The sequence below is a fragment of the Homo sapiens genome, chromosome 6 (genome assembly GCF_000001405.40).
Source record: "Homo sapiens chromosome 6, GRCh38.p14 Primary Assembly".
Taxonomy (NCBI): Eukaryota; Metazoa; Chordata; class Mammalia; order Primates; family Hominidae; genus Homo; species Homo sapiens.
In genome coordinates this window covers 24,741,429-24,768,069 of record NC_000006.12, presented here as the reverse complement: position 1 = coordinate 24,768,069, position 26,641 = coordinate 24,741,429, and the positions used below count along the sequence as shown (strand labels likewise).

Below are 26,641 nucleotides of genomic sequence, written 5' to 3'. Positions count from 1 at the left end.
CAGATTCGGTTTTTAAAGTAAATGGCCACTGTCCCTGGCCAAAATGCAGTTTATTTTGAAATGTTTATTTAAAAATAAGATGGGCCCAGCACTTTGGGAGGCTGAGGTGGGTGGATCACTCACTTGAAGTCAGGAGTTTGAGACCAACCTGGCTTATATGGCGAAACCCCATCTCTACTAAAAATACAAAAATTAGCTGGGTTTGGTGGCGGGTGCTTGTAATCGCAGCTACTCGGGAGGCTGAGGCATGAGAAGCGCTTGAACCCAGGAGGCAGAGATTGCAGTGAGCCGAGGTCACGCCACTACACTCCAGTCTGGGTGACAGAGCGTGACAATGTCTCAAAAAAAAAAATAAATAAAATAAAAATAAGATGGATGGATAGAGACAGGAATGTATAGGTAGATGCAATAAAGAAGATATATTAAAATGTTGACGGTAGAATCTAGGCAGTGGGTATACAGGTGTTTAGTGTAAAAAACCTTTAGTTTTTCTCCATGCTTGAAATATTTATTTTTAAATGTTCGAAAACATTAAATAAGAATGGATGAAACAGCAAACCCTAAAACAATTCTAACTGTGTAGCAAATTGATAATGTAACCACACAGAGAAAGTAATTTACTCAAGGGCCGGGTGCAATGGCTCATGCCTGTAATCCCAGCACTTTGGGAAGCCAAGGCAGGAGGATAGCTTAAGCCCAGGAGTTCAAGACCAACCTGCGCAACATAGTGATACCTTGTCTTTATAGAAAATACAAAAATTAGCCAGTTTTTGTGGCACACACCTTTATCCCAGCTATTCTGGAGGCTGAGGCAGGAGGGCAGGGCTTCAGTGATCTGCACTCCAGCCTGGACAACACAGTGAGACCCTGTCTCAAAAAAAAAAAAAAAATTTATTCAAGTATATTTTGAACACATAATTCTGTAACCCCCTTAGTGGGATTTATTATAAGGACAAAAGTCTCGGAGAAATTTTGAACTTTTCTTATCCGAAATCTCTGCTGACTTCATGATAAGAAGTTAGCTGGAACTCCTGCGTACAGTAAATAGCAGGCCAACAGAATTCTTCCTGAACTAGCCGGTTTAGATTCAGTTTCAGAACGTTAATAACCTTATTCACAATAATTTACCAAGAAATATTCATGGCATGTAGTTCCGTGAAGAATTTTGTACTACCCACTAGGTGGCAATGCTATCTAATGTAATTAAAGCAGATCTTTAATTTGAAAGACTCATTCATCTAACAACCTATATTGATCTTTCTCACCTACTGAGCAAACTAGACTTTCATTAAACATTAAACATGTTTCATTAAACATTTCATTTCATTAAACATTACTAAGAATGTAATGTTCTTCGGAATTTTAATAAAAAAGAAAAAAATGATACTATTTCCCCACACAAGGAATATATTAAATCAAACTCAGAATCATTGGATTGGTAGGGACCTCCAGAAATCAGCTAGTCCCTTTGTCCACCTCCAAAAAGAATAACTCTCCTACTCTATAATTTTTTATTTGCCTGGGAAAGATGACATTTCTCAAAGTTCTATTCCAACATTTAGCATATAGTTGAGAGGTGACAGCATGCCGGCAGTCCTCAGAGCCCTCGCTTGCTCTCGGCACCTCCCCTGCCTGGGCTCCCACTTTGGTGGCATTTGAGGAGCCCTTCAGCCCCCCACTGCACTGTGGGAGCCCCTTTCTGGGCTGGCCAAGGCCGGAGCCCACTCCCTCAGCTTGCAGGGAGGTGTGGAGGGAGAGGCAGGAGCGGGAACGGAGGCTGCGTGCGGCGCTTGCGAGCCAGCTGGAGTTCCGGGTGGGCGTGGGCTTGGTGGGCCCCACACTCGGAGCAGCCAGCCAGCCCTGCTGGCCCCAGGCAATGGGGGACTTAGCACCCGGGCCATTGGCTGCGGAGGGTGTACTGAGTCCCCCAGCAGTGCCGGCCCACCAGTGCTGCGCTCGATTTCTCGCCGGGCCTTAGCTGCCTTCCCGCGGGGCAGGGCTCGGGACCTGCAGCCCGCCATGCCTGAGCCTCCCACCCACTCCATGGGCTCCTGTGCGGCCCGAGCCTCCCCGACGAGCACCACCTCCTGCTCCACAGCGCCCAGTCCCATCGACCACCCAAGGGCTGAGGAATGCGAGCCCACGGCGCAGGACTGGCAGGCAGCTCCACCTGCAGCCCCGGCGCGGGATCCACTAGGTGAAACCAGCTGGCCTCCTGAGTCTGGTGGGGACGTGGAGAGTGTTTATATCTAGCTCAGGGATTGTAAATACACCAATCAGCACCCTGTGTTTAGCTCAAGGTTTGTGAATGCACCAATCGACACTCTGTATCTAGCTGCTGTGGTGGGGCCTTGGAGAACCTGTGTGTGGAAACTCTGTATCTAACTAATCTGATGGGGAGTGGAGAACCTTTGTATCTAGCTCAGGGATTGTAAACGCACCAGTCAGCGCCCTGACAAAACAGGCCACTCGGCTCTACCAATCAGCAGGATGTGGGTGGGGCCAGATAAGAGAATAAAAGCAGGCTGCCCAAGCCAGCATTGGCAACCTGCTAGGGTCCTCTTCGTCATTGTGGAAGCTTTGTTCTTTTGCTCTTTGCAATAAATGTTGCTACTGCTCACTCTTTGGGTCCACGCTGCTTTTATGAGCTGTAACACTCACTGTGAAGATCTGTAGCTTCACTCCTGAGCCCAGCAAGACCACGAGCCCACCGGGAGGAATGAACAACTCCACACACGCTGCTTTAAGAGCTGTAATGCTCACCGCGAAGGTCTGCAGCTTCACTCCTGAGCTAGCGAGACCACGAACCCACCAGAAGGAAGAAACTCCGAACACATCTGAACATCAGAAGGGACAGACGCCAGACACACTGCCTTGAGAGCTGTAACACTCACCGTGAGGGTCCGTGGCTTCATTCTTGAAGTCAGTGAGACCAAGAACCCACCAATTGCGGACACATGGTCATGTGGTTCATTCAATCATTATAAAGCAGACAACTTCTGAGCAATTACCATTTGCCAGGTAGGGGGCTAGGTATTGAGGGTATGATGGTGCCACAGACACAGTCCTACTGCCCTCAAGAACTTACTGTCGATTGCCCTGGCCATTGGCCTTCTTGGGAGAATGGAAGCATTGGTGTGGGTCCTAGTGGCATGGTTTGTGTTACTCTTCTCAGCTCAACCAGAGGCGAAAGGGAGGCCCAGTGGGGAAGAACAGAAAAGTATGTTTAATTGTTATTAGAAGACAATGTGAGAAATGCAAGAGAGTAGGTAAAAGGTATGAAGGACCTGAGAGAAGGAAGTCTTAGAAGTAGGTAGAAAAGTTTCCCAGATGAAGCGACATCTAAACTGACATGTGAAGGATAAGTAGGCGCTAAACAGGCGGGGGCCAGATGAAATGGAAGAAGAGAGGGAGGGCTTGCAGGTTGCAAAAGTTGGTGGGAGAAGGATAGCATCCTATTTGCGTCTGTATCCCCAAGGCTCAGCACCACGTCTTTCACAACAGACTTACATTAAACAGAATGAACTAATTCTGACCCTTACCCTGGTGCTATCATAATGTGACCCTGGAAAGATCGCTCCACTTCTTGAATCCTTGCTGTCCTCACTCTGAAGGTGAAGGAGATCACTCAGGGAGACTGTGGAGAAGGAGGTAAGAGGGCTCAGGACAATCCTGAGGACCACTGATACTTAAAAGACAGGCAGAGAAAAAAGAGGTAGCAACGGAGGCTGCAAAGCAGGATCGCGAGAGGCAATAGAAACCAGGAGAGTGTGGCATCTTGCATGTGAGGATTTTAAGAAATAAGCAGGCCAGGCACAGTGGCTAAGGCCTGTAATCCCAGCACTTTGGGAGGTCGAAGCGGGCAGATAACTTGAAGCCAGGAGTTCGAGACCAGCCTGGCCAACATGGCGAAACCCTGCCTCTACTAAAAATACAAAAATTAGCCAGGCGTGGTGGCGCACACCTGTAGTCCCAGCTACTCAGGGGGCTGAGGCACAAGAATCACTTGAACCAGGGAGGCGGAGGTTGCAGTGAGCCAAGATCATACCACTGCACTCCAGCTTGGGCAATAGAGCAAGACTCTGTCTCAAAAAAAAAAAAAAAATCAACTGTTAGAAGTCAAGAAACAGTAAATATGGAAAAAAAGTCACTTTATTAATAAGAAGTTGCTCTTGGACTTTGTAAGAGAAGGTCAGCGATATGGGTGCAAGGATCACACTGCAGTGGATTGCAGATACAGTAGCGAGTGAACCTATGGAGTCAGCAAATACAGAAACCCCTTTAAAGAAATCTGGCAGTGAAGCAAAAGTCAAGAGAGGAAAACATTTAAACATGCTTGAGCATGTTCAATTGTTGCTGGAAAGGAGCCACGAGATAGGGAAAGGTTGAAGGTGGTGAGGGAGAGGCAGATAAGGCTGTGGAACAAGTGTGGCATTTGAAAAGGCAGGAGAGCACAGGAGTATAAAAACAGGTGGACTGGAGGAAGGATATCCAGAGGTGTGCTGAGCTTATTAGACACCCACCCAGGGGATAATTTTTAACACAAAAACCTCCACTCTATGACAAAATTATCTTCAGAAATAATCATGAAGAAAATAATAAAATTCCAGAAAGTAAATGCAGAAAGTGACATTTTTCTGTTTTTGAACTCTATACATATATTATGTGAGTAAAAAAATTGTTTAATAGAAAACCACAAGCTGGGCCTGGTGGTGTGTGCCTCTAGTCCCAGCTACTCAGGAGGCTGAGGCAGGAGGATCCCTTGAGCACAGGAGTTTGAGGCTCTAGTGAACTATGATCATGCCACTACACTCCAGTGTGACAGAGGAAGACCTTATTTCTTTAAAAAAAATTGCAATAAAAAAGAAAATAATAATGCATTAATACTTCTGTGTTACAGGAAAAAATAAAATTTAGGGAATAATACTAAATCATACTACTGATATGAACATGTTTGTGAGTCATTAGTTTGTTTTTTTGGTTTTTGTTTTGTTTTGTTTTTGAGATGGAGTTTTGCTCTTGTTGCCAATGGCACGATCTCGGCTCACTGCAACCTCCGCCTCCCGGGTTCAAGCGATTCTCCTGCCTCAGCCTCCCAAGTAGCTGAGATTACAGGCATGCACCACCACGCCCGGCTAATTTTGTATTTTTAGTAGAGACGGGGTTTCTCCATGTTGGTCAGGCTGGTCTCGAACCCCAGACCTCAGGTGATCCACTCGCTTCAGCCTCCCAGAGTGCTGGGATTACAGGTGTGAGCCACCGATCCTGGCCTGAGTCATTAGTTTTAAACAACAATAACAAATGTTACTATTAACAACTTTATTCAAACTCAGTAAAATATTTCAAGTATGAACTAAAATTTTTACTTTCCAAACAAAATATCACAACTCTCAGTTCACACTCTTTGTTTTAAATTTTAAGCACGATATATATCCCAAGTGGTCACATGCAAAATGACAGATTTGAAGTAACTCAAGTTCTCTTTCTCCACCTTTACAGTCTCCATGCTTTCATTGTTTATTTTGCATCTAGTGCATAAAAGCAGAAATAGGCCAGGTGCGGTGGCTCACGACTGTAATCCCAGAATTTTGGGAGGTCAGGGCGGGTGCATCACCTGATGTCAGGAGTTCCACATCAGCCTGGCCAACATGGTGAAACCCCATCTCTACTAAAAACACAAAAATTAGCCAGGCATGGTGGCAGGTGCCTGTAATCCCAGCTACTCAGAAGGCTGCGGCAGGAGAATCACTTGAACCTGGGAGATGGAGGTTGCAGTGAGCGGAGATGCGCCACTGCACTCCAGCCTGGGTGACAGAGTGAGACTCCATCTCAAAAAAAAGAATACCTGAGGCTGGGTAATTTACAAAGAAAAGAGATTTATTTGGCTAACAGTTCTGCAGGCTGCACAGGAAGCATGGTGCCAGCATCTGCTTCTGGTGAGGGCCTCAGGCTGCTTCCATTCATGGGGAAGGTGGAGGTGAAGCTGAGATCTGCTGTGTGGAGATCACATGGTGAGAGAGGAAGTGAGAAAGAGAAAGGTAGGGGAGAGGAGAAGGTGCTGGGCTCTTTTTCACAGCCAGCTCTTGATGGAACTATAGAGTGAGAACTCACTCACCCACCACCCACCCAATTAATCTATTCATGAGAGATCTGTTCTAATGATCCAAGCATCTCCCAGTAGGCCCCACCTCCAACACTGGGGACCAAATTTCAACATGAGATTTGAAGGGATCAAACATCCAAACAATGACACACATATATGAAGACAGTAACCACTGCAATTGTGCAGAATTGACCAGCAAAAGACCGTTTTCAGGCAGTAGTGATGGCAGTGGCTGCTGTCACTGGCTGCAGCAGGGAGGCGAGGCGGGGCTGCAGACACCATGCAACTGGTGGGAGCCCCACCCTCCTGGGCGGGGCTACAGCTGCCCAACTGTGGCTGTGGATGGAAGCCTCCCTGTTCTCTTGGAGGAGGCCAGGAAGAGGCAGGATCTGCCCACTTGGGTGCAGCTGCAACCACCCAACCTGTGGCTGCAGACCTAGGCCTTCCACTTCACGGAGCAAGCAGGAGCCGGGGAAAAGCAGGAACTCCGACCCTTCCGAGTTGGTGGGGCAGGAGCTTTGCCGGTGCAGCTGTGGCTGCCCTCCCAGGCTCAGGACCTGGGCATCTCTGCAGCCTGCACCCTCGGGAGCCTGGGATGTTCCCTCCCCCGAACCACGCTCCCCTTGGGGGCATGGGATACCCCCCTTGGCCCCGCCCCATCCCTGCAGGCTCGGGGGTGTCTGCTCTCGCTGCCCGGCCTTTCTGCTCCTGGTGCCAGCTCTGATCTCCTAGCGGGGTTTTGGAGAGCTCCCTTTAGGAGATCTCATGAACATTTGTACTCACTAAAAGAAAGTCTGACGGGAGGGGTCAGCCAATATTCACTGCAACAAGCATCCCCATTGGGTACAGTTCCCTGTGGACCTCTCTGAGTGGGAGGAACTCACTTTGAGCTGGGCTGCCTTGACTCCTGACTGGGGCAGCCAGGTTGGCTTATAGCAAGCAGTGCAAACCACAAGCGTTTCACCTAGAAAGCTTAGTAGTTAGGACTGTAGGCTTGCCACGAACGGAGAGTGCAATGCAGTGCTCTTCAACTTGGTAGAAATGGCTGCTGGGGAGAGAGGGAGAAAGAACCAGGAACTATGGGATTAAGGGCCCAGTGAGTGTTGAAGACCACAACAAAAGAAAAACTTTAGACAAAACAAATGTAACAGTTTACTGGAGCAAAGAACAGTCTACACATTGGGCAGCCCTTAGAACCAGAAGTTCAGAGAATACAGTTCTGCAACCTGGGTATTACTTACAGAAAAAGGCTGAAGAGGTGGGGAGCGATGGTTCACACCTGTAATCCTAGCAATCTGGGAGGCTGAGGTGGGCAGATCACTTTAGGTCAGGAGATGGAGACCAGCCTGGCCAACATGGTGAAACCCCATCTGTACTAAAAATACAAAAATTAGCCAGACGTGGTGGTGCACACCTACAATCCTAGCTACTACTCGGGAGGCTGAGGTGGGAGAATCCTTGAACCCGGGAAGCCGAGGTTGCAGTGAGCCGAGATTGTGCCACTGCACTCCAGCCTGGGCAACAGAGTGAGACTGTCAAATAAATAAATAAATAAATAAATAAATAAATAAATAGCCAAAGATAGCAGAAACAAAGAACAGAGACTGGTTGTTTCACAGTTACTTTCCTTGTAAAGGTTAAAGCAGAGGGGACTTCCTTGTCATGCCAGCTAAAACTGGCCTATCTGGGGATTTGGATTTCCTGATTTCTTGGAAGGTCAAGCAAACAACTTGATTTTGTCTTGGTGGTGTGGAATTATTTTTACTTTTTATTTTTGAGACAGTCTCGCTCTGTCACTCAGGCTGGAGGGCAGTGGCGTGATCTCCACTCACTGCAGCCTTGGCTTCCAGAACTCAAGGGATCCTCCCATCTCAGCCTCCCGAGTAGCTGGGACAGCAGGTGTGCACCATCACAGCTGGGTAATTTTTTCATTTTTTGTAGAGACGGAGTCTCCCTATATAGCCCCCACTGGTCTCAAACTCCTGGGCTCAAGTGATCCTCCCACCTTTGCCTCCCAAAGTGCTGGGATTACAGGCCTGAGCTACAGCGCCTGGCCAAGGTGGCCTGGAATTTTAGCATAAGTGACTCCATTTTGGTTTGATCTACTGAGGCCTGGTGAAGGAGCCCAGTCTAAATCAATGGGCTCCTATAAATTTAATTTAACAACCACAAGTTTCTTTAACTATAGCTTAGGGTAATTTTTTTCTACTATGACTTCAGTGGGGAGGGAAGGCAAATTGTTACTGCTCTCTAAATCAGGAGGTAGCAAACTTCTTTTTGTAAAAATTCAGATTGTAAATATTTTAGACTTTCTGAATCGCATACTCTTTGTTCATTCATTTGTTACAAGCCTTAAAATTACATAAAAAGCATTCCTAGCTCCCAGGCAGTACAAAAACAGGCCTTGGCTGGATTTGGCCTGAAGACTGTATTTTGCTAAACTTTACTCTAGATAATACATCCATTAGAGATAGTAAAGTCTCTTTTCTTTTTTTTTTCTTTTTCCTTTTTTTTTGAGATGGAGTCTCACTCACTTGTACTATGGCTGGATCTCGGCTCACTGCAACCTCCACCTCCAGGGTTCAAACAATTCTCCTACCTCAGCCTCCTAAGCAGCTGGGATTATAGGCACGCCCATGACACCGGGCTAATTTTTGTATTTTTAGTAGAGACAGGGTTTTGCCATGTTGGCCAGGCTGGTCTCAAATTTGTGACCTCAAGTGATCTGCCACCTCAGCCTCCCAAGGTACTGGGATTGTAGGTGTGAGCCACTGCATCTGGCCAAGTAAAGTTACTTTCTACCATTCCAAGAAAGGCTATTTTCTTGAGAAAGACTGGATAAATAATTTAGAAATTGGTTTGTGAATCATTTTCCTCCTACCTGAATGAAGAGGGAGTTCTAGTGGCAAGCAAGGTGTAGCTACATAGACTTATGAAAATAACTAAGACAGGTACCTTCAGATGAAGGGAAAATTAGGGGAAATTACATGATTTCTTATTTGTGTTATATATTTGCTCAATGCATTTTCTTTTGGGAATTTATGAGTTAGGTATGAAGTACACCTTTGGCAAACAGATTTTAAAAATTCAATGAAAAGAAGCAAAATCTACCCCATGACTTAAGACTCCAAAAGTGTTTAAGAAAATTAGAAAAGCAAGCTCTAGTTTAAATTTTGAAAAATCTCAATGTGAGTACAAAGTTTTCTTAGGAGTTCAGAAATGTAAAAGGTTTATACAAAAGATGAAAGAAAGAGTATATTTCCCAAAACCTACATGAACAGTGTTTGAAAAGCTAAAACCAAGAACAAACTGAAACTTAAATCTTCCTCCTTAAAAGGAAGTGTTTTTTAGAAGTAATGGTAGGATTGAGTGCAGTTAATTATTAGGATTAGGTTAGCACTGGCCGCATAATTTTTGGAACCCAGTGCAAAATAAAAATTTGGGTCCCCTTGTTAAGCAAAAAATATTGATAACTTCAAGATGGCAACAGCAGAGCATTGTATGGGGACTTCTGAGCGATAGCTCAGTTCACATGCTCATGAAGGAGGTGTAAACCAAAAATAAATTCCAAGGCCCCCCAACCATCTGAATGGCCTCCTAAGCCAGGGCACTCTAAAATTCAACCTGAAGGACTGGTTCAGGCCATGACAGAAAGTGAGGGTTAGACATGCCTCATTACACCTCTCTGCCATTAATATCAACACAGACCTTAAGTCTGATAAGAAACAGTTAGAATCTATTCTCTCTGAAGCCTGCTACCTGGAGGCTTCATCTGCCTGATAAAACTTTTGGTTTCCACCACTGCTTTTGAGATGTACCATCTTTCTGGACAGAACCAATGTATAGCTTTAATGTATTTGATTGATGTCTCACACCTCCCTGAAATGTATAAAACCAAGCTGTGCCCCGACCACCTTGGGCACATGTTCTCAGGGCCTCCTGAGGAAGGACTGTGTCACAGGACATGGTCACTCATATTTGGCTCAGAATAAATCTCTTCAAATATTTTACGGAGTTTGACTCTTTTCGTCGACAGACGCCCTCGGCTGGGGACTCAAGAATGCCCAAATCCTGCCTCGGCCCAGCCATCTCCACTTCCTTTGAGGTTCTAGAAGGAGGTTTGCAAGATATAACAGCATGTAAGACACCATAGCAGGTTCCCCTTTATTTTCAAGTAGGTTCCTGTAACTGCCTCTTTAGGGATCCTGGTTAAGCTATGCTGCAGCACAAAATTTAGGCTCAGGACATAAGTAGAGTCTTTCTGCCCAGCAGAATTGAGGATTCCTGAAGGTTTAGAGAAATAGAGGAGAGAAAAAAGAGCAAATGTCTCTGCCTAGAAGGCACCTGCTGTCCCAGGAGAAGTAAAAGGGAAAAGTGCACTTTAGTGACCTCTCACTGTAGCAGAAGTGTGCCATTCACTGTTTTAGAACCTAATCAGATTAGCGGCGCCTCTTCTAGGACAGGAGCAAAGATGGAGATTGGAAAAGAAAGACTTTCTCTTGTTTCTTCTTCAACCTACTGTGAGGGAAAGGGCTTTTAAAACTACATTTGAATTACATTTGAATTTTAAAAAATAAACAGGATGAGCAGTATTCTCTGCTGTTTTGATGCAGTTAGCATAAATGCTAAGAGATAACAATGAGCAAGGAAAATAACCATTTATTTTCCTTCATCTTTTTTATAAAGCAATATTTAGTAATCTGCAGTTTTAGCAAAGAAAAAAATTGAAACTCAATAAACGAGTATATAAGAATAGGCCAGGTGTGATGGCTCACACCTGTAATCCCAGCACTTTGGGAGGCCAAGGCAGGCGGATCACTTGAGGTCGGGAGTTCAAGACCAGCCTGGCCAACATGGAGAAACTCCGTCTCTACTAAAAATACAAAAATTAGCTGGGCATGGTGGCAGGCGCTTGTAATCCAAGTTACTCAGGAGGCTGAGGCAGGAGAATCGCTTAAACCCAGGAGGTGGAAGTTGCAGTGAGCTGATATGGAGCCAGTGCACTCCAGCCTGGGTGACAGAGCGAGACTCCCATCATCTCAAAAAAAAAAAAAAAAAAAAAAAAAGAGTATATAAGAGTATCAAATAACAATGCAGATATTTGAAAAATGAATTTAAGTGTCTAGAACTAGACAAAACACAGCCCTACACCAGAGGCATTTGAACCAGAGCAACTCCATCTTGAATAGGGCCTGGGTAAAGTAAAGCTGAATCTTACTGGACTTCATTCCAGGAGGTTAGGCACTCTAAGTCATAGGATGAGATAGGAGGCCAGCACAAGATATAGGTCACAAAGACGTTGCTGATAAAACAACATGTGATAAAGAAGCGGGCTAAAACCCACCGAAACCAAGATGGCGATGACAGTGACCTCTGGTGGTCCTCATTGCTTATTATAAGCTAATTATAATGCATTAGCATGCTAAAATACACACCCACCAGCGCCATAACAGTTTACAAATGCCATGGCAACGTGAAGTAGTTACCTCATATGGTCTAAAAAGGGGAGGAGCCCTCAGCTCTGGGAACTGCCCACCCCTTTCCTAGAAAACTCATGAATAATCCACCCCTTGTTTAGCATATAATCAAGAAATACTAAAAGTATAGTTAGTCAAGCAGCCCACGCTGTTGCTGTGTCTATGGACACATTCTTTTATTCCTTTACTTAACAAACTTGCTTTCCCTATACTGTGTTGACTCGCCCCAAATTCTTTCTCACATGAGATCTAAGAACCCTCTCTTGGGGTCTGGATCAGGGACCCCTTTCTGGTAACACCTAGAATACTAAAGAAATAGGTATATGTGCTCTGGGTCACCATAATTATTCTGAGAAATTATAGGACACATAAAGAGAAACCAAAAGACTGAGGGGGAAAAACTCAACATTGTTTTTTTTGAGACTGAGTCTTGCTGTGTGGCCCAGGCTGGAGTACAGTGGTGCGATCTCAGCTCACTATAGCCTCCGCCTCCCAGGTTCAAGTGATTCTCCTGCCTCAGCCTCCTGAGTAGCTGGGATTACAGGCACGTGCCACCATGCCCAGCTAATTTTTGTATTTTTAATAGAGATGGGTTTTCATTATGTTGGCCAGGATGGTCTCGATCTGTTGACCTTGTGATCTGCCTACCTCAGCCTCCCAAAGTGCTGGGATTATGGGCATGAGCCACCACTCCCAGCCCTCAAAAATTTTTAAAAAGAGAAGAAAGTTTAATCAAAATTGGAATTAGTAAACTTGGAATTGGCTGTTGGTAAATTGTGAACAAACACCACTGTACAAGCACTTTGCAAGGACTTATGTAAGATGAGATGATAATAGAAGCCACCCTATATGTTCTGTGAGCAAACCCTTTCAATTGAGACTCTTTTTTAAAAAAAAATGGCTGGGGGGTGGGTAGGGAGGCACAGTTATGGTGGTAAATCAATGAATAACAGAAATAATTCCAGCAAAATGGTGAGCAAAACTTATCATGTTGTCCTTGGAGACAAGATGAAGAAATGTGATAGGTGACTCAGCAGTTTGGACAATCTGAACAGGGTTAATGAATTGATACATCAAGAACAACTTGACCAAGAGTCTCTGTGACATCTCACAAAGCTCTGCCCTATCACTGTCCTGTTTGGCAACATTACCAGTAATTTATATGCTGGCACAGAGGCATGCTTATCAGGTTTAAAGATTACCCAAAACTAGGAGGGATAGCTAATATAATGGCTTCACTAAAGATTCACAATTACCTCCACAGGCTGGAATCTCAGTCTCAAATGTCAACAGGTTGACATTTTGACTAGAATAAATGTAAAGGATATTTTTAGATTAAAACAATTTTTTTTTATTGTTTGTTTTTTTTTGTTTTTTCTGAAAACCAGAGGGGTAGTGACCAGGCTTGGTTGCAACTCATAAAACAAACAAAAAACTTAAAGTTTCTTTTTGAAATGAAGATGAAGTATAGGATGGAAAAAACTAAAGTTTTCATTGATTATGCATTAAAAGGAACCAGCTCTACAATGCAGCTGTTGAAAAAGTTAATACTGCTTTGGACAAATCATTAAAAACAATAGTAGTCATTTATTGAGAGGGAATTATGAGCACTGGCTCTGGAGCTAGACTGGCTGGGTGACACTGGACAAATTCTTTCATCTCTTTGTGACCACATTCCTCCATTTTTAAAATCAGGGTGATATGATTTGGCTGTGTCCCCACCCAAATCTCATCTTGAATTCCCACATCTCATGGGAGGGACCCAGTGGGAGGTGATTGAATCATGGGGGCAGATCTTTCCCATGCTGTTCTCGTGATAGTGAATGGGTCTCACGAGATCTGATGGTATTATAAGGGAATGTTTCCCTGTACAAGCTCTCTTCTCTTGTCTGCCACCATGTGAGACGTGCCTTTCACCTTCCACCATGATTATGAGGCCTCCCCAGTCATGTAGCACTGTAAGTCCAATAAACCTCTTTCTTTTGTAAATTCCCCAGTCTCAGGTATGTCTTTATCAGCAGCATGAAAACAGACCAATACAAGGTGGTAAGAATAATACCTACTTAATAGAGCTCTTTTGAATAACTCAACGAGATAATACATATAAAAATTTACAACAGTGCTCAATAAATGTTAGCTGTTATTATTCTGTTCCGGACACTTTACACACATTTGTATGTGTATGTATGTGGCTTTTTATTTAATTACATGTATTCATTGCAAAGTAATACACATATTAAAACAATGCTAAAAGGTATACACTGAAAAATTGTCCCTTAATTATCAGTCCTTCTGCTGAGAGATTAAATTAAAATGCACCTTTCATTTTTATGTACTAATGGGTGCATGGACTGCACAATGCTCTGCACCTTTTCCTCCCCACATGGGTATCTTGGAGACATTTCCCTATCAGTATATGTAGATCTATTCCATTCTTCGGTTTTGTTTTGTTTCCCTCTAGAGACATGGGGTTTCGCTATGTTGCCCAGACTGGTGTCCAATTCCTGGGCACAGGTGATCCTCCTGCCTCAGCCTTCCAAGTAGCTGGGACTACAGGTGTGCACCACCACACCTGGCCTATTCCATTTTTTAAGCTGCATAGTATTCCACTGTGTAGATGTGCCATAATTTATTTACCAGATCCCCAAACCACAGTTATTTAAGTTTGTATTCAGTCTATTTTTTTCCACAAACAATGCTGCTATGAACTTCCTTGTAGCTCAGATACTGGAGTCAGATTGTCTGGGTTTAAATACCTGTGCTGTCACTTATTAACTGTGAGCACGGGTAAATGTCTGAGCTTTACCAACCTTGACTTCCTAAAGTGTAAAATAGGGGTAATAATAGTGCCAAACTCATAGGGTTCTTGTAAGGATTAAATGGAGAGTACCTTGCTTGATGCTCCTACATAGTAAGCTCTCAACGAACATAAAATACTTCCCTTCCAAACTTTCCAACTTTACATACATTTGAGTTTGTAGAGTGAATTCTTAGAAGTAGAATTGCAGATTCAAGGGTGTTCATTCAAAACTCTGGCAGATAACATCAAATTGTCCTTTGTGTTGGATCATGTTTTCCTCTCTAGATACACACTCTACCTGTCCTGACCCTGCTCTGTACTCCAGGAGGCTATAAATCTCTAGCATCCAGTGTCCATTCAGGACCTCTGTGGGAGATGGGAAGGCAGAAGGAAAGAGCCCCAGGCCTCTGTTTCGCAATGGCTACATTCCCTTATCAGAAGCCAGCTTCCATTAAGCAGCTCCTCCCCAGTGGCTACTAAGTCCACATGTTCCTTTTTTAAAAACATATTTTTATTTTTTAATAAGACAGGGTCTCTCTCAGTTGCCCAGGCTGGAGTGCAGTGGTGCAATCACAGCTCACTGTAGCCTTGACCTCCTGGGCTAAGGTGATCCTCCTGCCTCAGCCTCCAGAGTATTTGGGACCACAGGCATCTGCCACTACATCCAGCTAAGTTTTTAAAAAATTATTTGTAGAGACAGAGTCTCCCTGTTTCCCAGGCTGGTCTCAAACTCCTGGACTCAAGCAATCCTCTTCCTTGGCCTGCCAAAGTGTTGGGATTACAGGCATGAGCCACCAAACCTAGTCCCCACCATGTTTCAAGAAAAGCTCTCTCCCTTTGCCCTGTCAGTCAGATCGGGTAGAAACTGTTTCCTGCAGTTTCTTGTCCCTGGATCTTTCACCAGCCCTTGCAGGTTCCCCTAACCCTGAGTATATCTCTATAACTAATCTTTTTGTTAAACTTCCTTCAGTTACCCTTTCAACATGCCGTCTGACTGGCACACTATCCAATTCACACTCTCACTGCTTCACTATGAGAATATTTGTTTTCCCACACTCTTGCTGATATTGGCATGTCAAATGTTTTAAAGATTTTATATAAAAGACTCCTTTAATTTTTTATTTTTTCTGGGCACCAGTGCCATTATTTATCTTTTATCACAGGTAGTGTTTCCTTTTAAACTTCAGTTTCTTAAAGGCCTTTGCGTAAGTATAGATACTTATTATTTCCTCAATATTGTATTAGTTCAATTAAAAATATCAGAAAATTCAGCCAAAATAATATGAAGAACTATTGAAGACATTAAAAACTTTACCCCAGGCCGTGCTCGGTGGCTCATCCCTGTAATCCCAGCACTTTGGGAGGCTGAGGCGGGCGGATCACGAGGTCAGGAGATCGAGACTACCCTGGCTAACACGGTGAAACCCTATCTCTACTAAAAATACAAAAAATTAGCCGGGTGCAGTGGTGGGTGCCTGTAGTCCCAACTACTCGGGAGGCTGAGGCAGGAGAATGGCGTGAACCCAGGAGGCGGAGTTTCCAGTGAGCCAAGATCGCACCACTGCACTACAGCCTGGGCAATAGAGCAAGACTCCGTCTCAAAAAAAAAAAACAAAAAAACTTTACCCCAATAAAATTTTTTAGGTGTGGTGATGACTTGTGGCTGTGTTTTTTAAATGAGAAAAACCCTTATCTTTAGAGATATCCTCTAAAATAATTACAAGTAAAATGGTATGATATATTAGATTTACTTCAAAATTCTCCAGAAAAATAGACAATAGAGTATGGGGAATACATGGAAGAAGACTGGGAAAGTGTAGGTAATTATTGAAAGTAGGTGATGGGTATGTGGTGTATCATTATATCCACTCTTTCCCATTCTGTTCCCATTCATTATCTCCAACTTTATGTGCTAAAAGTCCCAAAATAAGAAATAAACCCACAAACAAAGCCAATAGCAACAATAAACAAAGAAATAAAAAGACAACTAAACATCCAAGTTGAGGAGAAGGATAGCCAGTGAGATCCCCAGGTGGGGAAGCTGCTCCAGCACTGCCCAGCCAGGATCAAGATGACCGTCACCTTCAACAACCACAGGAAGCCACAGCTCTCCAAGTTCCACCAGCTCTACAGTGAAGACACACAACAGCAAATCATCAGGGAGACTTTCCACTTGGTATTTAAGAGAGATGAAAATGTTTGTAAGTTTCTAGAAGAAGGATTATTAATTGGAGGATAGGACAACAAACTGATTTCTAGACCTCACATAATAACATATTTTGTCTTCTGTGTGGGTTCTTCAGAAAATGAACTTGGTGTTTTAGATCTAATTTGAGTATTTGTGGAAACATTAGGCAAGTGTTTTTGAAAATGTGAACTGGATTTCATCTTCCATGTGGCTCACATTATTCTTGTAGAAATGATATTGGGAGAATGGTATTAGAGACTGTATTAGTTTGTTTTCACACTGCTATAAAGACATACCTGAGACTGGGTAATTTATAAAGAAAAGACATTGAATTGACTCATAGTTTCATATGGCTGCGGAGGCCTTGGGAAACTTACAATCATGATGGAAGGGGAAGCAGGCACGTCTTACATGGTGGCAGGAGAGAGCTAAGAGTGAAGGGGGAAGAGATCCTTACAAAACCATCGGATCTCATGAGAACTCACTCACTATCATGAGAACAGCCTGGGGGAACCTCCCCCATGATCCAATTACCTCCTTCCCTTGACATGTGGGGATTACAGGTCCCTCCCTTGACCTGTGGGGATTACAATTTGAGATGAAATTTGGGTGGGGACACAGAGTCAAACCAGATCAGAGACCAACAAGAATGAGCTTGTTACACAAATTAATGTGCAAAATAAGCTGAAAAAAACAAAGGTTGGCTTTACAGGAACCTAGCAGCCCATGCTGTATCAGCTGTATAGAATATAAACCCTCCCAAGAGTCCAAGAAACATTAACACTGGTGACATCGGTATAAAAGTGCCAAACCTGCCCTCTTTTAGATAAAAAATGTAAAAGACTATTTTCAGTAAAATCCAGGGGAAAAGGTCATCCAAGTTTACCTTGTAGTTGTTTACCAAAACTAAAGGAGAGTCTTAACTTTTGCTCTTGGATTTAAGTCAAGGTACTGTACAGAAGTTATATAAAATCGGTATGTGAAGTTCAATGTACCTTTTCTTGTTCAGTGATTTTTAAAGAAATCAGATAGTTCCAGTGTGATTTGTTTTCTTTTCTAAACTTCTATGCTCACCAAAGTCATTCCCTATATATTGGCTACTATGATATTTTGAAAAGTGTTTGTGATATTTCGTTATGTATCACCCAAAACATTGGTATTTTGTATGGATTACAAGTGCAGCATTCCTTAAGTCTTTCTGCTATCTGTGACAATTGTCACTTAAAGAACTAAGTGTATATTGTGTGAAAATATTATGACTTATTTATTTATTTATTTGAGACAGAGTCTCACTCTGTCACCCAGGCTGGAGTGCCATGGCGCGATCTCAGCTCACTGCAACCACCACCTCCTGGGTTCAAGAGAGTCTCATGCCTCAGCCTCCCAAATAGCTGGGATTACAGGCATGCATCATCACGTCCAGCTAATTTTTGTATTTTTAGTAGAGACAGGGTTGGCCAGGCTGGTCTCGAACTCCTGACCTCAAGTGATCTGCCTACCTGGACCTCCTAAATTGCTAGGATTACAGGCATGAGCCACCACACCTGGCCATGACCTTTTTTCTTAGTTTAAATAAACTGCAATACAAAAATTCAAGTGAAACAATTTTTATAGGTCTATAACACAATATTATCTGCAGTCCATTAGATTAGGTATGGCTGTGAACATTTAATCATAACTTTTCAGTTGCAATTTTATGTTCACATTATATTTGGATACCTCTCAATATTTTTAAAAGAAAATTTTCAACCATATATGGCTGGTCCACAGATTTGTCACATCCCCTTTGTTTTGAAAATTTTCAAATGTATATGAAAATGGAAAGAATATTATTATGAAAGCCTGTATACTCTCTGCCTAGATTCAACAACTGTCATCATCTTGACAAATTTATTTAACGCTCTGTATATCGTTTTTTAAAAACTGAACCATTTGAAAGTCATTATGACACTTGCTTCTTCTAGTTCCTCTCCCTCTTCCTGAGTTTTTAGTTTTGTTTTCCGACTTCCTATACATGGGTTCCTTTTTCTAGCAACCTTACATAGCCTTCTTAAAAAGGAGAGAAGTTCTCTTAACTTTATGTTCATCTCCAGCTACCACCATCTGTCTCTTTCTTTCTCACAGCCCACTTTCTCAAAGCAGAGTCCACACTGCTGTTTCTACTTCCTCCCTCTCAGTGGGCCTCACTGGACTGTGGTGTGCCATCCACACAACTTCACCTTGGCACCATCTGGAGCCTCACGACTGGGAAACTCAACAGAGGCCAGGCTCCTCTCTTTGGCATATTTCATACTGTTGAGCTCCATCTTGAAATCCGTTCCTCCTGCCAGGGCATCGTTCACTTCTGACTCACCTGCTTTTCCAGCTGTCCCTGCTCGGGACCCTTCGTCAACTCTCCTTTCTACTTGCCTCTTGAATCTGGGCATTCTAAATGGCCCCATCTCCATCCTTAGTCTCAAATCAAGAGCTTAACCATTTTGTCCCTTATTACCGGAATTTCACGTATCTGTAAGAAGATGGAGAGAAACTCTTTATGTGAGAGAACCCATGAGGATGTCTGCTTCATGAACTGCTTCATTTTGATCCTCCAGTTATAGTTCTTCCGGCTTTTGCAGTTTTAATAAAACCACACCCAGAGGCTATTCAGAAGAAGGAATGCAGGTAAAAGGCAAAAATGATCTTGCTTGTTAGTGACCTAGAGACAAGATTTGATGGAGAAAGAAGCAGAATATTGTCTTTTTTTTTTTTTTTTTTTTTTTTGAGACGGAGTCTCGTTCTGTCGCCAGGCTGGAGTGCAGTGGTGCGATCTTGGCTCACTGCAACCTCCAACTCCCGGCTTCAAGCAATTCTTCTGCCTCAGCCTCCTGAGTAGCTGGGATTACAGGCACGTGCCACCATGCCCGGCTAAGTTTTGTATTTTTAGTAGAGACGGGGTTTCACCATGTTGGCCAGGGTGGTCTCCATCTCTTGACCTCGTGATTCGCCCACCTCGGCCTCCCAAAGTGCTGAGATTACAGGCATGAGCCACTACACCCAGCCTGTTGTCTTTCTTTATTATGAAGTTGTAGGATGTTATTTATCCATGATAAAGTCCTATCTCCCCCATTTCTACAGCTAATTTAAAGTTGACTATTAGAAACCCTATTCACAGGTCAAATACAGACAACACACATTGATTTCTAGCCATAATGCTTCACAGAGCTAATTAGTCTGTTTTGCTTGCTTGAAAGATCTGTATCTAATTTTTTAAGCATCAAAAGAGAAAAGCATATTCAACTCCTTGTAATACCCAAATGGCAGGTGAACGTTCCCTTCAGGGAACATGTCGCTATTGAGAAAACAACATCTGCGTTAAGAATTAAGCCTAGGATGAGGAGTAGCGGACTTTGAGACTAAGAGAGAAGAAGAATCAGTAGGCAATGGCTTTTGTTGTTGCTCCTTTTTTTTTTTTTTAGACAGAGTCTTGCTCTGTTGCCCAGGCTTGAGTGCAGTGGTACGATCTTGGCTCACTGCAACCTCTGCCTCCATGGTTCAAGTGATTCTCCTACCTCAGCCTCCCGAGTAGCTGGGATTACAGGCACACACCACCATGCTCAGCTAATTTTGTATTTTTAGTAGAGACGGGGTTTCACTATGTTGTTCAGGCTGGTCTCGAACTCCTGACCTCAGGTGATTCACTTGCCTTGGCCTCCCAAAGAACTGGGATTACAGGCGTGAGCCACTGCACCTGGCCTATTGTTGTTGTCTCTACATGGAGTAAGAAAGTGGATACTTAAATCAGTAAAATGCAGAAAATTAATTAGCTTGTCAGATGAGCATTCATAAGCTTTTTCTTTCTTTTCTTTCTTTCCTTCCTTCCTTCCTTCCTCCCTCCCTCCCTCCCTTCTTTCTTTGTCTTTTCTTTTCTTTCTTTCTTTTTTTGAGACAGGATCTCACTCTGTCACCCAGGCTGGAGTGTTGTAGTGACACAGTCAAGGAGTCTTGAACTCCCAACCTTTAACTGCAGCCTTGAACTTCCAGGCTCAAGCAATCCTCCCACCTTAGCCTCTGGAGTAGCTGGGACTACAGATGTGTGCTTCCATACATGGCTAATTTTTTAAAATTTTTATTGTAGAGATGGGGGTCTTGCTATGTTGCCCAGGCTGCTTTTGAACTTCTGGCCTCAGGTGATCCTCACGCCTCAGCCTCCCAAAGTGCTAGTATTACAGATGTGAGCCACTGCCCCTGGTCACATAACCTACTCTTAATCTAATTTAGTTTAGAGACTAAACTAATTACTGATCTTTTATGCCTGCTTTATTATAAAATGGCAGCCCAGTTGTAACAACTTAACACTGATTTTATTATCAAAAGTCTAGTACAGGTGAAATACAAATGAAGACTAGAGTTTAGTTAATAGTATCGTGTCGATGTTGGTTTCCTATTTTGGCAGCTGTACCATAGAATGTAAAAATGTTAACATTGGGGGAAAGTGAGCGAGGGTTATATGGAAACTCTATAATATTTTTGCAACTTTTCTGTAAATGTAAAATTGTTCTAAAATAAAAAGGTTATTTTAAAAAAACAAGTCTAGCATGTGGCAATGATTATAACAATGGATGTCTGGATAACGACCTGCTCAGTGTTCTCCAGATAGTTACTATAGTCATTAAAGTTATACATAATAAAAAGCATAATGACAGTTTTGGCACATTCCAAGTAAAATCGGTGTTTTAAAAATCAGCTCAGGTTATCCGTTTAAACTAACAAACAACTGATAAAGCACAATCAGACCAAGAACAGTTCTCTAATATTTTGTAGACTATGTGGAAGTCCTGTCTTCCTTGAGGCTAAAATAAATCGGATGAGACCAGACTAAGAGAAAACAATCTTCTGCCAGTTTCTTTTGCATTTCTGGCTTATTCGGAAAGAAAGACAAAGAAGCTGAGTGGATCAGATGCTCAGGTGTTCCTTCTTTTTCATTCTGGTACCTGGATATGCCTGAGTTGGGGTAAATGGTAAGATCCCCAAATCCATGAGACAGGGCTCATTTAACAAATAATTTGGGGTCAGGCTTGGTGGTTCATGCCTGTAATCCCAACACTTTGGGAGGCTGAGGCAGGTGGATCACTTGAGGCCAGGAATGAGTTTGAAACCAGTCTGGTCAATATAGCGAGACCCCCATCTCTACAAAAGAAAAAAATTAGCCAGGCATAGTGGTGCATGCCATGCCTATAGTCCTAGCTACTCAGGACTTGAGCAATCCCCGAGTAGCTAGGACTTGCAAGAGGATTGCCTGAGCCCAGGAGTTCGAGGCTGCAGTGAGCTTGGATCATGCTACTACACTTCAGCCTGGGCAACAGAACGAGCCTTGTGTCAAAAAAACAAACAAACAAACAAACAAAAAACACCAAAATATTTTTGTAGAGCTCATTAAGGATCTTATATCTTCTCTGTAAACAAACAAACAAACAAACTAAAGAATCTCTGTCCATTATGATTCTCATTGATCTTACCTCAGCTTTTAACATTTAGTTTTATAGACCAGTCATTGGCAAACAATGACCCACAGGCCAAATCTGCCTCATCTTCTTTTTCATTACAGCCTGGGAGTTAAGAATGGTTTTTGGGCCGGGCGCTGTGGCTCATGCCTGTAGTCCCAGCACTTTAGGAGGCTGAGGCAGGCGGATCACTTGAGGTCAGGAGTTCAAGACCAGCCTGGCCAACATGGTGAAACCCCATCTCTACTACTAAAAATACAAAAATTAGCTGGGCGTGGCTGTGAATGCCTGTAGTCCCAGCTACTTTGGAGGCTGAGGCAGGAGAATTGTTTGAACCTGAGAGGCAGAGGTTGCAGTGAGCCAAGATAGAGCCACTGCACTCCAGCCTGGGCGACAGAGCAAGACACAACCAAGCTCACTTGCTCACGCATTGTCTATGACTGCTTTCCTGACACAATGGCAGAACTGAGTAGTAGTGACAGAGACTAGAGGGCCTGCAAAGTCTAATGTAATTACTATCTGACCCTTTACCAAAAAAGTTGGCCAATCCTATAAGGGACAACTTCCTACACACACACAGATCTCCCTCTTGGTTTTCAGAGCAACATTCTCATCTGGCTTTCTACTTTCTCAACTGGCACTCTGGGATTTAAGCGGTGATATGACGGGGTGGTCTGGTGAGGACTAGACTAGGAGTGTGGCTAATCAGGAGGCTGGTGGACACTAATAGAAAGGTAAGACGTCGAGTACCAGAAGAGCTCATTAATATACAATTAAAGAGGTGACGCAGGTCCTATAAGATGTGGGAGAAGGGAAGTTCCATTTTAAGAAGTGAGCTGAGGAATAGGAGACACGAGGCCTGTGTGGTCTAGGCAGACAGTCTAGAAGGTCAACGTCTGCAGGAACTGCATGAACAAGCAGGGTGAAACCAAAGCTGCAGTCTAATCTTAGGGCAAAAGTGATTTCCCCATTTTATACTGCTCTCTGGAATTGGACAGCCTTAGGTCCAAATCTACTTATGACATTCAGAAGGAAATAAAAAACCTGAGGTAACTCCACCTTCTCCACAGATTTAAATCCTGTGTTGGATGCTGAAGAAAAGCTACATATCTCTCCCCTACTAGACTTTCCTCAAAATTCAGTTCCACATAGTACTGAATACTTTATTTATTGATTTATTTAGAGATAGGTCTTGCTATGTTGCCCAAGCTGGACTCAAACTCCTGGGCTCAAATGATCCTCTTGCCCCAGCCTCCTGAGTAGCTGGGACTCTGTGCCAGCACACCTGGAGCTGATATTTTTCCTTTCATATCTCATGAAAATAACCTTGGGTTAGAAGCTTGTCCTTCCTTCATGACCAGGCCATACGTTTGGTTCCATTATCAAAGTGAAAGCCATCTCCTTTCCATCCTCCTAAGCAAGAAAATCTCCCTTATATGTCAGTAAAAGTACCAAGCACCTACATTCTTTCTAATTCTCGCCTGCTATCAAGAAAGTATAAAACGAACAATAGTGGGGAGAGAAAAGGTGACGAAGAGAGGGAGGTAGTTTAAGTTGTGCTGATTTCATTATTTTAATAGCCAGGGATGGAAATAAATCATCTAAAGATGATAAATCAAGTACGTGGCAAAAACCGCAATTACTTTTGCACCAACCTAATAGAATAAGTATATTTAGAAACGCAAAGATAAAGGCCAGGCGTGGTGGTTCACGCCTATAATCCTAGCACTTTGGGAGGCCTAAGTGGGTGGATCACTTGAGGCCAGGAGTTCAAGACCAGCCTGGCCAACATGGTGAAACCATGTCTCTACAAAAAAAAAAAAAAAAAAAAAAGCGAAGATAAATACTAAGAACAGCAGAAAAAGGGAAGTGATAGTGTGCTAATTTTGTCAGTGTTCATAGTATGGAGTCAACTGGTTTTGCTTGAAGAAAGAGGATTAGGTTTATTATATAAACTTGTAGTTATAAGGTAACCACTAGAACAAAAATTTATTTCCCTATAAACTATTAGGAAACACACACATGCAAACACAAAGAAAATACAGTCCAGTAGAGAAGTGTTCAAAAAGTAACAACAACAACAAAAACCCAGAAAATATCATACAAAATTTGATACAGAATTAAGACCAAACTTATATGTATATGGGCTAAATTCACTGTGACAGACACTGTTGCTTACTCAACAGCCATTTCCCTGCTCCTGCCCCACTGCCTTATTTTGTCTGGGGAATGTACCCAGCCCTAGCAGATGAGTCATTATTAGCTAAGCCAGTCATAGCCATTCTGTGTCCTTCTGTCAGCCTTCCTTACATCTAAGAGTAGTCAGTTATATGGCAAAGAGATTTGAGGGGAAGTCTACTACAGGGCTACTGGGAAAGGTAATCTTTCGCCTGATAAGAGTAGCCCCAGAAGGATAAAGACTTTTACCCTGACTACCCTGTTTTCTGCCTTTGAACTGTGATGTTGGGAGCTGTGGCAGCCATTTTGAATTTATGAGTTAACAAGAATAAGGACTGGCAGAGCAGAAGGAAGGAGCCTAAGATCTGCTGACATTGTTGAGCTCCTGAATGAATGCCAGCTACCAAGTTGCAGCATGACTCATATCTTTACTTCCAACTTTCATTTCTTTCTTCAGGCTTATATTACTAAGAGGTCATGACTAATCTCACTTAACGAAGTATTCCTGTCAAAGCTTTTAGCCATTTGCCTTTGCAGACAGTTTAGACATTTTACTTGGAGCAGAGAATAGTTGATTTTGTGCTAAAAGTCTTCCTAGCAGAGACTCTTCCTGGCTTCAGATGATATCAATGACCTTAATGTTCAGCTTGTGGCATAGAATTCCAGAACTCTGGAAACAGCAATGCAACAACAGAAAATGATTCGGGAAAGAGCTTCTTTAAGGTCACACACATGGATTTCGTAAACGGCCCAGATTGTCTTTAGTTCTTTGTTATTTCTTTTGTTTTACAGATGCTTGAGCTTTTGTTAGTGAATAAGTATTACTATTGCTTGGTATCTTTTACCGAATTCGTATGAAATTCTTATGAATTTTTGCCTGTATGAAATTCATAATCTTACCAATGGGTTTTCTTTCTCTCCTCAAGCTTTCCTTCCATTCCCTTACTTCACATTCAATGAATTTCTTGTGTATGCCACTACCAAGTCTCAAGCTCCTACAATTATTCTAATTTCTACTTCTGTGTATTGGTACGCCATCTCTCCACCTTGCCTCCTCCCTCTCTGGGAGTCTTATCCCCCTCCTTTCTAAAATAAATTCATCTAAGGTGTTCCCAACCATCCTAGGCAAACCTTCAGAGGACTTCACTTCTACTTGGTCTTCCTTTATTCTCCCACTTCATTGGTTCCTTCCCCATTTACCTTCAACGCTACAACAGGTCTCCGTGGATAGTCATGCCCAGCCCCCAGCACACTTTCTGTGGGCTACCTAAGCTCTTAAATGGATGGTAAATGCCTTGGGGTTGCATTTGTTCTCTATCCACAATCTCATCTACTGCATACTTGGCAATGCGGTTTCCATCCTCCCAGCAACACTGAAACTGTTTTCTAAAAGGTCAACAAAGACCTCTTTTTAGTTAAATCCATTATTCTTTTCTGGTTTTTCTTTCTCTGTTTCTCTCTACAGCATTAAAAAGAAAAAAAAAAGATTTCTCATACCTCAAATGTTCGGCTTCCTTGGCTTCTGTCCTATTTGCTAGCAGTTCCTTCCCTTTTTATTGCCTTTTATTTCTCTTGCCATTCCTTTGCTACGTATTCCCTTGCTCCCTATTCTCTCTATCCTTTCACTCCAAAGTCACATTATCTTCCCTGTAGCCATTACCTCTGCGGTTAAAAAGGCCTGTTCTGTTTTCTTTTTCTTTTCTTTCTTTCTTTCTTTCTTTTCTTTTTTTTTTTTTTTTTTGAGATGGAGTCTTGCTCTGTTTCCCAGGCTGGAGTGCAGTGGCTCTGTCTCAGCTCACTGCAACCTCTGCCTCCCAGGTTCAAGCAATTCTCCTTCCTCAGCCTCCCGAGTAGCTGGAATTACAGGCATGTGCCACCATGCCTGGCTAATTTTTGTATTTTTAGTAGAGATGGGGTTTTACCATGTTGGCCAGGTGGTCTCGAACTCCTGACTGCAGGTAATCTGCCCTCCTTGGCCTTCCAAAGTGCTGGGATTACAGGCGTGAGCCGCCATATTTCACTGGGGCTGCAATTTTAAATTTTATTTTATGTATATATGTATTTATTTATTTATTTTAATTTTTTATTTTTTGAGACAGAGTCTCACACTGTAGCCCAGGCTGGAGGGCAGTGGTCAGATATCAGCTCACTGCAACCTCTGCCTCCCAGGCTCAAATGATCCTCCCACCTCAGTCTCCTGAGTAGCTGGGATTACAGGCGTGCACCACCACACCAAGCTAATTTTTTTGTATTTTTAGTAGAGATGGGGTTTTGCCATGTTGGCCAAGCTAGTCTTGAACTCCTGACCTAAAGTAATCTGCCTGCCTTGGCCTGCCAAAGTGCTGGGATTACAGCCATGAGCCACCATGCCTGGCCTTATTTACATATTTATTTTTGAGATGAGGTCTCAGTCTG

At 43.0% G+C, this 26,641-nt stretch overlaps 1 long non-coding RNA gene and 1 pseudogene across 1 annotated transcript, besides 3 other annotated features; one reads left to right on the top strand and one right to left on the bottom strand.

Annotated features, from left to right (window-relative positions):
• Positions 10,035 to 10,236: a silencer, noted in NCBI's record as "fragment chr6:24758062-24758263 (GRCh37/hg19 assembly coordinates)". NCBI's record gives its function as "represses an EF-1alpha promoter that drives an FKBP-Casp9 reporter gene in an ReSE screen in K562 erythroleukemia cells {active_cell/tissue: K562}" and the evidence as "EXISTENCE:reporter gene assay evidence [ECO:0000049][PMID:32094911]".
• Positions 13,989 to 14,199: a silencer, noted in NCBI's record as "fragment chr6:24754099-24754309 (GRCh37/hg19 assembly coordinates)". NCBI's record gives its function as "represses an EF-1alpha promoter that drives an FKBP-Casp9 reporter gene in an ReSE screen in HepG2 liver carcinoma cells {active_cell/tissue: HepG2}" and the evidence as "EXISTENCE:reporter gene assay evidence [ECO:0000049][PMID:32094911]".
• LINC02828 (long intergenic non-protein coding RNA 2828) lies at positions 16,110 to 25,765 on the bottom strand. Its single transcript, NR_183315.1, has 3 exons — positions 25,724 to 25,765; positions 18,922 to 19,074; positions 16,110 to 16,507 (listed from the first exon to the last, which is right to left on the bottom strand). It is a non-coding gene; the product is annotated as a long intergenic non-protein coding RNA 2828 (long non-coding RNA).
• On the top strand, positions 16,439 to 17,593 carry AP3S1P1 (AP3S1 pseudogene 1; annotated as a pseudogene).
• Positions 24,456 to 24,545: an enhancer, noted in NCBI's record as "active region_24157". NCBI's record gives its function as "activates an Ori minimal core promoter by ATAC-STARR-seq in GM12878 lymphoblastoid cells {active_cell/tissue: GM12878}" and the evidence as "EXISTENCE:reporter gene assay evidence [ECO:0000049][PMID:35858748]".
• Positions 25,766 to 26,641: the final 876 nt, after the last annotated feature.